At 36.7% G+C, this 12,125-nt stretch overlaps 1 protein-coding gene across 5 annotated transcripts in view; it reads left to right on the top strand.

Annotated features, from left to right (window-relative positions):
- CABCOCO1 (ciliary associated calcium binding coiled-coil 1) overlaps positions 1-4,158 on the top strand; it is a 103,838-nt gene extending 99,680 nt beyond the window's left edge. For all 5 annotated transcript variants that reach the window (NM_001366908.2, NM_173554.3, NM_001366906.2 and 2 more), the window contains one exon: positions 3,331-4,158. In NM_001366908.2, the coding sequence (NP_001353837.1) occupies positions 3,331-3,405 (75 nt within the window). In that variant the 3' untranslated portion in view covers positions 3,406-4,158. The remainder of the gene's footprint in view (positions 1-3,330) is intronic.
- The last annotated feature ends 7,967 nt before the right edge of the window (positions 4,159-12,125 follow it).

Genomic DNA, 12,125 nt, shown 5'->3' on the forward strand with positions numbered 1-12,125 from the left:
GTATTTTCTATCAGTAATCCTAGTAAACTCCATGTGAGTTAGGCAGGCACTTCCCCTGATAAATTGAAAAATGGGACACAGAAAGACTTAAGTTATTTGTCCAGAGTTCCCAGGGTTGACAACTGATAAAAGACCCTGAATGGGAGCTGTGACCTGGGTTCTAGTTCTAATTCCAGCGTTATCCACAAAAACCACATAACTTCTAATATCACAACCAGACTACTCTGGATTTTAATACTCCCGTGGTGTGGCACTTTTTCCACGTTTACCCTTGTGTCTTGGTCAAATTCCAAGTTGGGTAATTACTCTCTGCTTACCTAAATTCCTCCTCCTATTTTAGATGTGTAGGTTATTTTCCACTTCTAAAACCTGCCTTCCAGTGTTCCTGGCTCTAAGAACTGCCATATCCCTTTTCAAAGGTAGCTATGTGTCAGTGGTCAGTGTATATATGCTATTTGAACACACCGACCTGCTGTAGGAATATTTAATGAATCACTACTCGTAAGATGTTTTAAATTTTCTCACAGATTTTTTTCTCCTACTTTGTTTAAAAGTCATACTGTTATTACAATTTTTGCAAAAAAAAGGCAGTAAATAATTCATGTTTTAAGTACAGTTGTTTTCAAAATTCCTTTTCTATGTGGTTTCAGGCATATTTTACCTTCTCTAATACAGAAATTTCTGAAAATGTAGTATGAATCCATAAGTTTTTTATGTTAATTCACTTATTTTCCCATTGACTCACTTTATGGTTTTAGAGATTTATTAAGAATGAAGTTATCTTGGCCCTGAGATGTTAATTAAAATTATACTGAATAGAGCAAACATTTTAAGCCTGTATAGTTTAGGTATTTTAATTTTAAAGATACATTCAAAATGAAATTATTTTGGCCCTGAGTTGTGTAATAAAAATTATACCCAAGGGAGCAAACTTAAATATATTTAAAGAATTACATTTCAGAGAAATATGAATGCTAACACTAAATTCTTACATTACATGTTGGCTGTTGGCCCTGTGGAAGCAATAGGGTAATATAATATAAAAACTTTGAGGGAAGTTTGCCATCTTGGGACCCTAGATGTTTTTAGGTCAACTTGAATTTTCCAGGTTAGAAAAGCTGAGCATGAAATCATCTCAAAGAAGTGGTCAATGAGAGACTACTGAACATATTTTTTTTCCTTAAAAAAAAAAAAAAGAACCAGACCCAACCATAGTATTTGCAGGATTGCTTGTCTGTTCAGCAAAGTTCTGAAGAATGACAAGGAAACACGGCTAATGACAGCCTGTTATTGACTAGACGTGGAGCCTTTAGATCCAAACTCTGCTGGTTGTGACTGAACTAAAGTACTAAGCCTAAGGTCTGGAGATCTGAGACATTACTCACCTCTGTCAGTATGCCACTCTCTTAGCTGCCCCTTCATGAACCTTTTCCCAAGGCCTACACTTGTTTTGATAAATTCTGTCTCGGTAAAATACCAGAAAGGCCTCCAAGTGAATGTAAAATCCCTATGTGGTAGTGAAACAGAAACTGGTAGATGATAAGCACATCAATCCTTAGCTGAAAAGAAATGAGATTACTGGTGGGCATAGAGGGACATTAATTGAAAGTGGGAAGAATCGATTGTTTGAGTGGCGCAATTCTTCCCAATCCTTTGAAATTGTGGTAAAATTATTTCAAACCATTTTAATCCCTATGTGGTCCAATATGTTGTATCCCATAAATTTATTTTAATAAGGCAGGAGTAACAGATTTTTAAGTATTTCATGACATCATAACAATGAAAGATAACATTGGTGAAGTATATCACAAAATTGGAAGTTGGAATTATGAATTCAAAAACTAAAGTTTGATATTAACATAATCCTATTCCCCTACTTAATTTTTAAGGTAAGAGCTAAAATCCAGGTGGTGAAATGACTTACCTAAGGTGACGTAGCTGAACTAGTACCTAGATCTTCCCAGTCCAAGATCAGTGCTTCTTTCGACCCTACCTAAAATCATGCATAGATGATGATTTCTTTAGAGTCAGTGCATCCTAAAGGAAGAGTTCCTCTGTGACCTGGAGGACCGCTCCATCCCTCCTTGCCTCCTCCACCCAACCACCAAGAAAGGAAAAGATAAGAAACCAGAGGCCGGAGCTTGATCCCAAGGTTTACTAAAGCTTGAACCAGAAAAGACTGATACTTATGTGAGTTCTGAACCCAGAATTGTTGGCACACATACGATCTTTCCAGAAATATCAAATCTTACTGTGAGGTGAAATCAAATCTCATCAGATAAGGCAGCATGGACATGTCACAACTATCTGTTATAGTTACACTCTTGTAAATAAATATGAAAAATTATATCTGGGCTTAAAACAGTATTTGATTTTTTTAAATGTCTTCTATCTAAATTAAAATAATAAAAGGTTTGCAAAGTACAGTTACCCTGAAGCCCTCAAATAATGTTATAGCTATTAGAAATCCAAACTTTGAATTTATTAACACATATGTGTATAAGCTACTCCTTATACAGCGGTAGACATTTTAAAAATCACCTAAACAACAACAAAAACATCAATTTTGCCACGTCAACCACCACTGCTTTTTCTGTATGTAATTTTATTATCCCTTGTGAAAAAGGGAAGACATTTCCAGGGCTACTAATGTTCAGTTAATGTGAACGTATTTATGGAATTGTGCAGGTAGCAATGTGAGTCCACAGAAGATCGCTGCCAGAGGCAAAATGCTATCACCACCTCGGCAATCACAAAACCTGAGAGCAATTGCTTACTTTTTTTACCAAAAATATATCAGAAAGTGGCATCATTCCAAGAGTTCTAATGTATGATGAATACTCTTAATTATGGGAGTTGTTCTAATTGTAAGGTTATTTGTGTTGTTATTTCACAACAGAAGCTTCCTGGGATCTCATTTAGAATGTATTACACGGGAGACACAGACATCCATTGCAGATGGTGGAGGGACCCACAGCACTGCAATAACTGAGCCCAAAGCAGTTATTCTGATTCAGTGCTTATTGGTAAAGTCTGTCTGAAAATACAGATAAATTATCCTATCTTCCAACACAAGGCTTTGTGAAAAATGGCTGTCCAAATACCACTTCCTGTTCATAGCAGACATGCTATACATTGGAAATGTGCAGAGAAATATGATAAAGTGTTATCACATCACTACAGGCTGAAACACAGCTATGTCTGCAAAACAGGAAGGTGTGTGAGGGATAATATCTGTCTTTAGGCACTATAGTATGTCAAAACCACAAAGACAATGTGCAGCAAAAGATAGCTCCATCATAACCACGTTTTTTATGATTGTCTTCACAGACCGAGATAAACGAAAAACTGCAAATACAGGAAGAGGCCTTTAATGCACGAATAGAAAAATTGAAAAAGGCCTAAGGACTTGGTACAAGGAGAGTGATGCTAAACTTCACAGAAACAAACAAAACCAGCCAGAATAACAGACTCTCTGGAGCGTCGTGTCTCCATCACTTAGTTGTGAAAGGAAAACCAAGCCCCACTTTTTATTTTCCTAAGTAATTAGAAAAGTATTGGTCCCAATTTTGCTATCTCCCATCCCATAACAGCCTCTGAATTTATTGCACCAAGTGTAATGAGAACATTTTGTATACAAGAGTTTGAAAAATTATATATAAAAATACAATTACTTTTATGATAGTCCTTTGACGTTTTGACTAATAAATCCTATTCATCTTCAAGGAGAATGAAGTCAACTTTTTAAATAACCAGAAATAAAGAAAGATGATAATAACTTCATCCATTTTGACCCAAACGGACTGCCACGTTACTGGAACACTGTGAAAACATACCAGTACCACACTATTGAGGATAAAATTTGTTAAACAATAGCAATTCAAATGCATATATGAGGTTTTTTTTTTTTTTACTGAAATCATTTGGTTTTCTTATTTAAACGTTTCAGTGTGAAACCAATTTTCTGAAATTATATAATGCAGTTTGAAGCACTTTAATTTATTCTGTACTGTATTTGTTATTTCTAATCTTGTTACTCTCCCAGGAGAATACATGACCTATATAAAAAGAAGCAATGTATAAATGGTTATTAAAGACCAACCTATATATAGATTGTAAAAATCTTAAATACAAATCAAACTCATAGAGTTCCCAGAATTAGCCATTATATTGAAGTGGAATGATTTTTAAAAATCTCAAGTCTTTAAATACCTTTATTAAAATATAATTTCAAAAGAAAAATATCAATTTGCCAGCTGATTGTCCCCAGTTGGACAAATTAATTAATTACTACCGAACTCTTTTCCAAAGTTCTTATACTTCAGAGTTTACTGGAATGGAGAGCATTGCTAGGAGGTAGCAGTTTCTTCAAAAATTTTCCAGGCTATACAGTACTTGGATCTGGGTGACACTTGATTGGATATCAGCTTTAACCCTACTTTCTCCATCAGTTCAAAGAAACTGCCCAAACTATATTCACTGGGGGCACAGGCAGATCTGACAGCATTTGGTAATTTTCTAACTACACTGATCAGCAAAGTAAGAGTACCCCTTGAGGTAAAACAATGTTTATTGTTCCTGTAGTTCCACAACTAAAAGGTCTGGAGATGTGTTTCTTCTCTGAGCTGTCCTTCCTGAATGAAAACGTTGATGGCTGCAGATCAGTAGGAGGGCTCATGTAGTCTGGATTCCATCAAGCAGTGTTTTCTCCAGAGCAAACTGAAACGGGGGAGACTGCAAATGTGGAATAAAGGAGCTTCCAAAAGTCACCAAAAACAGCTTCAAGTGCAATTGTTGGCACAGAGTAGACCTGAATTTCTAATAAAGAGTGCTTACTTGAGCAAGGGTATCAGTCAGAAGTATCAGGACTCTAAGACTGAATCAAAATAGCACTAGGATGCCTAAACACTATATAGAGACAATATATGTAAGTGTGCTTAAAGCTGTGGTCTCTAGACTGAGACTCCCACAGTGTGATATTGGCTTCACACTGGTGAGTGTGTGACCTTGGACAGGCTACTCAACTTCTATTTGCTCATCTATTCAATGGAAGTGACACTTATTTTTGAAGTGGTTATGAGGACTCAATATGCCACTGCCCATCCCTAATACCCATTGCCCAGTTGCTTGATTAGGCTGTCTGCCAGAATTCCGAGCCTTCTCTGTCTCTCCACTGGCACCTGTGGGGCAGCATGTCCTCTCCCTCTGTTGAAGTCATCCCATGGTAGCCACCCTGCCACTCTGATCTCCTATATTTTCCATGGTGGAGGAGCCCAGGGATCTCTCTGGCAACCCAACTTTCAGATATGATAATAGGAGCAAGAGCAACCACAACTTTCAAAAGTATTTTTTGCCCATTCGAACAATTGGATACATGCATAAGTGGTCTTTTTTTACACAATTAATATTGCTGTTTACATTCCTTTTTCATCAAGTAATATATCTGAGAGATAATTCCCTATCAGTACATTTTAACAACCATGTAATATTTATCAGTTTCACGATTTTTTGATGGGTCCTCCTGCTGAACTTTTTTGTTTCCAGCAGTTTGTTATCACCATGCTGTATCGCCACCCTTGCGCACACATCTTTGTGAATGTGTATAATTATACCTGTAGGTCAAAACTCTAGAAGCGGAATTCCTAGGTCCAGTTGTATGTGCGTTCCAATATTCTTAGATATTGTCAAAGATATTTCACCATTTTGTATGCCCACCAACAGTGTATAAGAATACCTCTTTCTCTACATTTTACCAACAACGTACATTAGTCAATTTTTTGTCTTTGATATTCTGATAGAAAATAATGTCATGCTACTGCTTTAATTTGCTTTTATTGTTTTACTCCACATGGGTTGAACACCTTTTCATATGTTTATAAGAAAATATATATATATATTCATGTAACATATATAATGTGTGATGATAATATATATATTATGGTTATTAGGAAGACTATATTCATTTAGTCTTCCTAATAACCGAGAGAGAGAGAGAGACAGAGAGAGAGAGAGAGATGATAGGTAGATACTATTAGCCTTTAATAGTTAGCCTCATTTTATAGTTATGGAGCCTGAAGCTTAGAGGGATTATTAACCTAAACCAAGTTACACATTTAATAATTGGTGGGACGGGGCTTCCAAACCAAGTCTGACCTATTTTACAGATGACGAAACTGGAATACAGAGAAAGTTTAGGTAACTCTCCATGATCGTACTGCCAGTAGGTGGTAGAATTAACTTTGGAACTTGGGCCTGTACGATCACAAAACCCACGTGCTTAACCTTTATCTTCATCTGGCCATCTCATAGTTGACATGAAATCAAGGGAAAGCTAACCTTTCCTTTTCCTTATTATATAATAATATTATTAGAATAAGCAAGTTTGTTGTTGTTCCCTTATTACTATAGTAAGGGAACAAACTTGCTTATGCTAATGAGTGTATTAAGTTTTTGGAAAATGTATCCAAGGATAGAATACATAACTCATTTCCATTCATCTATTCATGTATTATGTATTTGTTGAGCACCTTCTATGTGCCTGGGCATTTAGTGGTGAGCCAAATAGACATGGTATCTGCCCTAATAATTTAGTGGGGGCAGTTAATAGTAACTGTGGTAAAGACAAGCTCAGGGAGTTAGGAGAATATAAGGCAAAGGAGCTTGGTGGCATCTAAGAGGTCAGAGAAGCTTCCTATGGGTAACTTCAGGGCTGGGCCCAAGAAGTAAAATTTAACCAGAGGGAAGGTGAAGGAAGATGTGTTTCTGACAGAAGGAGGCATGTGCCAAGTCCTTGGGACACAAGCTGAAGCTGAACAATTGTCCAGAGCCAACGTTGTTGTGGGGTTGTGGACCATATTACAGATTTTTATTTTTATTTTTTATTTTTATTTTTATTTTATTTATTTATTTATTTATTTCGAGACGGAGTCTCGCTGTCGCCCAGGCTGGAGTGCAGTGGCGCCATCTCGGCTCACTGCAAGCTCTGCCTCCCTGGTTCACGTCATTCTCCTGCCTCAGCATCCTGAGTAGCTGGGACTACAGGCGCCCGCCACCATGCCCAGCTAATTTTTTTGTATTTTTAGTAGAGACGGGGTTTCACGGTGTTAGCCAGGATGGTCTCGATCTCCTGACCTCGTGATCCGCCCGCCTCAGCCTCCCAAAGTGCTGGGATTACAGGCGTGAGCCACCGCACCTGGGCACAGATTTTTATTTTTAACTTAAAAACAATGACTCATTGTTGACAAACGTTACGTAGCAAGTGACATCAGATTTATGTTTTTAAAAAGGTCATCTCTCTAGTACCAAGACTTCTATCTATGGAGACCTGGAAAAGGGAATATTCTTATAAAAAGAGTCCTACTGCTAATGATGTCATAGCACCACTTCATAGCAGTTTCTAAGAGAGGGAGAAATAAAGAAAATGTTTGACTTTTTTAAAGTGACAGAGTCCACCTACTCTAAGTAGTCTTTGGCATAACGGTTGCCCTCTGAAGAGCCAATTTAAAAATAATACCAACCTATCACTTAGGAGAAGCTTTACTGTCATCATCCACAATAAAGTATGTTTCTTCCATTTGCAGGAATAATTTGGAAAACTTTTTGCATAGATCCCATGATAAGTTTCAAAGAGCAAATATATTCATTATGTTATAAACAAGCCACAGACTACCACTATTTCAGGTATTTGCAGGCACTATTGTGCCTTAATATAACTGTGGAGTCATTTTTCCAAAATCTGAATATAAAGCCTCTATTTCTATCCTTCATTTGATTGGAACCATTCAATCATCCTGGTAGATAATAAGTTTGCATGTTCTTAGATTGCATTTCATTATGCTTCCGTTCCCCTAGAAAATAAATGTGCTCCTTTTCCCAACAATTGTAGAGGAGAAATACTTCTGACATCTCAAATTTCAGCCTCTGGAAGACGTCCCTCTTCTGGACATGAAAGTCATTTGTTTCCTGGACATTCATCTGTTAAATAAGAGAAGTCAAGACCCCCTCATGACAGCCATAATACCTATTAATTTAAGTTTCCAAAGAAAGATGAATCCAGATCAAAATAATTCCATCCAGATCAAAGTAATTCCAAACCAAAGAGAGAATACTAAAAATTCCTTTCGCTTTCAGGATGACTTTCCTTTTCACAGAAGAACCTGCAGTGAAGAAGATTGGTTTATCGTATTTTATTTGTCAGAGCTGCCAAAGTGTTTTATGTTAATATAATTTTTAGCTTCAGAGAATGTTCATTGAAAATGTCTTCGATGGTCATTTTGGTGTTTGTTTCTTCCTTTTAATCTAGCTTGTAATTTATTCTGGGCGTTCTAAGTACCAGAATGAAAGAAGACAATTAAGGTCCTTGACTTGAGGGAGTCCATGGAATTAATGACGTTTATAATCTAGAGACAGATGACACACAAGTGAATATTCTTTTTCAAAAGAACATGCAGAATTATAACCACAAAATGCTTAGAAGGATAATCCTCAAACCCAGATAAACCCACCTATTGAAATAATTTTGGTCCAAATCTTCTTTGCAGAATTCCAAATAAATTATATGGATACTCCACTCAAAGGAGGAGGAGTATAACTCCACTGATGTATGGGCTGTACATACAGACTTCCAAAGAATATAGTATGGAAAAAGTAATGCTTTCATAGTTGAGAAACCTGACAAACACTGCTTCAGCCAGGTGATCAAGGTCAACATCAACAGTCAATAAATCATGTTAATGCATGTACCCTTGATATGAGGTGAAAATGGTGAAGATCTCTGCGATCTTCATGCCAAAAACTTAAAACCCCAGTCTAATCGTGATGAAAACATCAGGCAAATTCCAGTGAAGGAACAGTCTATACCTGATTAGTACTCCTCAAAACTGCCAAAATCATCAAAACAAGGAAAGTGTAAGAAAATGTCACAGCAAAGAGGAGCGTAAAGAGAATGACAACAATTGTAGTAAGGTATCCTGGATGGGATTCTGGAACAGAAAAGGGAAATCTTAAAAAATATGAATAAACTATGAAACTCAATTAATAAAAATGTGTCAATAGTAGTTCATCAGTTGCACCAAATGTACTATACTAATGTAAGATTAATAATAATACTAACAGGAAACTGTGTGCAGTGGTGGAGTGGGGACTGTATAGGGGAATTCTGTACTATCTGCTCAATTATTCTACAAATCTACAACTTTTCTAAAAAAATCTAAAACTGTTTTAAAAGAATAAAATCTATTAATTTTTAAAAAAGAATATTAGTCAAAACAAAATTAATTAGAAGAAAAAATGCCCACAGTCAGATGTCACTATTAATAAAATGATACCCCCTTGTAAATGTCACATGAAAAATCAAATATAGTCAACTTGCAAATTAGAAAAAATATACTCAGAAAAAACAGAAAGTAATATATCCCATTTTAAAAGGGTAATTGTAATTTTCATCTGTTCTGGGCCTCTTCATACCTTCTTACTTCCATAGTAGAATTCGAAACTTTCCAAAAATATGCATACTTTATAAAAGCAGAGTACATTGATTTCTTTTAGTACCAAACTCAATTGTATAACACAACATCATAATATGTTCTATCAGCTAATCTTAAATAGAGAGATCAACCAGGCTGGGTACAGTGGCTCACCTGTAATCCCAAGACTTTGGGAGGCCAAGGCAGGAGAATTGCTTTAGGCCAGGAATTCAAGACCAGCCTGGGCAACATAGAGAGACCTTCGTCTCTACAAAAGAAACTTAAAAATTAGTGATGCCTGGTGGCACATGCCTGTAGTCCCAGCTACTTGGGAGGCTGAAGTAGGAGGATCATTTGAGCCTAGGAATTTGAGGCTGCAGTAAGCTATGATTGCACCACTGCATTCCAGCCTGGGGGACAGAGTGAGACCCCCATCTCTCAAACAAAAAGAGAGAGAGAGAGAGAGAGAGAGATCAAACATCTATAGAATGGCCCCAGTCTCTCAAGTAGCTCACAATGAGGTAAGGCTTCTTTAGATTCTGCTAAGACTTCTCTAAATGAGCAGTCCTTGTTTTATATAACATGGAAAACACAATAAATACATAAACAAATAAAGAAATGCTATCCAGCTACTTAAAATCAAGCTTGGTAATAATCATATCACCTGCCATCCTATCACCAAAAAAAGAGATCAAAATAGCCTGGTTATTAATATTTTCATTGAATATTCATCTCAAAATCAAAAAGAGGAAAAAGTAACACGTTTTTAATACGAGTGACATTTTATATTAATGCATTGTCAATACATGGATAGCTTTCATAAAACCAAGGCCCAAATTCAACCAGAATAAAAGTAACAGTACTCATCTTCCAACCTCACGCGTGAGTTAAACTGTTACAATGACCAACAAAATATAGATTTTTCTTTCCTTTTTTAGTATAAAAATTGATATTATTATTTTTCATTAACTCTATCCAGTCCCTTTTTGCATTGTTATTGGACTTTATGGATTAGAATAAATTTAAAATTTGCATTGAATTTGTAATAGTCAAAAATTCCAAATAAAAAGTGTTCTCACTCCATCTTGCCAGAACCAGAATTGTTGCATTTGCTTAGTATGCATAACTGAATGATCGAACAAAAGCAATGACCAACAAGATTCGATTTAAAAATAGTATTACCACAAGACCATGGTGGTAAAAGTCCTAAACATCTTCTAGTTTAACCCTTTCACAATAACCCTCACTTTTCCTGAGGGCCAGGAAAGTGAAAAGACACTGTAATAACACAAGTAATTTATGACAAAGTCCAAACTAGCATCCACATTATGATTCATTCATTCAAACATGGTTATATTCAACAAATGTTTATTGGGTATCTTCTGTGTGTCAGAAGCTATGCTAAGCATACATCAGCAAAAACAGATAAAACCACTGCGTCATGGAGTTTATAGTCTACTGGGAGAGGTAGATTTTAATCAATCACATAAACAATTATTTTTTAAAAAAGCTATAACGCATTCTATGAAAAAAGGTATACCCTGCAACGAGAGCTTACATAGATAAATTTGACCTAATCAAGGAAGGTTCTACTGAAGAGTCACATGTCGAGGATGAATTGGGCACTCGTTAAGCAAGGAGAGGAGAAAGTTGTTAAGCAAAGGGAACAGCAAGTGCAAATCCCTGTGGAAATAAAATATGGAAGGCAGAGGGTGTGAAAGGAGGCCTGTGTGGCTGAAGTCTCTAAGTGAGAAAGAGCATTTTTCAAAGTTGAGGATGAATATAAGTGGAGATTAGATAATGCAAAACCTTGTAAGTCAGAATAAAGAGTTTTGTCTTTGTCCTAAATATCATCAGAGGTTATTAAAAGATTTTAAGCAGAACTTGGAGGTGGTTGGTGAAGGACAGGCATTTTGCACTATGCAAAGATTACTCTAGCTGCAGCAGGGAGAATGAAGAAGAGACCTGGGAGGATGGGGTCACCCCAGTTAGGATATTTTCCAACCCAGTGCTCTTTCTATTACCCTACATATGCGTCAGAATCTGCCCACCAAAATCCATTTTCCCATTCTCCCTAACCATGTGGTTGGACTCCATTTCCCAGATCCCTTTGCAGTTAGGTATGGCCATGTGATGAAGTTCTACCCAGTGGAATGTGGGCAGAAGTGAAATTGGCTATGTTAAGGGCTTTGCTCAAGACCAGGCAACACCTCCTCCATGTTCTCTCCTCTCTTCTTCCGCTGGCTGCATAGCAGTGAGGACAATGAGAATTTGAAGGTAACAGTGCACTTATCAGCCTGGGTTCCTGAATAAACACGTTGACAGGAGAAACTCACCAACCTGGAGCACACATCCAGACTGTCTGATGAGCAATAAATATGAACTTCCACTTCTTAGAGCCACTTCATTCTTAGGTCCATTCTTTACAACAACTTAGCCTGTTCTAATTAACTCAATCGATATGTCTTTCTACGTTTAGCATACATAATATGTCTCATATGGGTCAATGTCTATAAACTGGAAAAAGCAACTAGCAAATTCATTAACTAGGGACCTGCTTATAGTTTTATTATATAAGGTAATTACTTCTTAGTTTATATAAGCCCACAGTCCCTCCTGAACTGACATTCTATGAAATAATTCACTGAGCCTCACAAGTAT

Source organism: Homo sapiens, chromosome 10 (assembly GCF_000001405.40).
Source record: "Homo sapiens chromosome 10, GRCh38.p14 Primary Assembly".
Classification (NCBI taxonomy): Eukaryota; Metazoa; Chordata; class Mammalia; order Primates; family Hominidae; genus Homo; species Homo sapiens.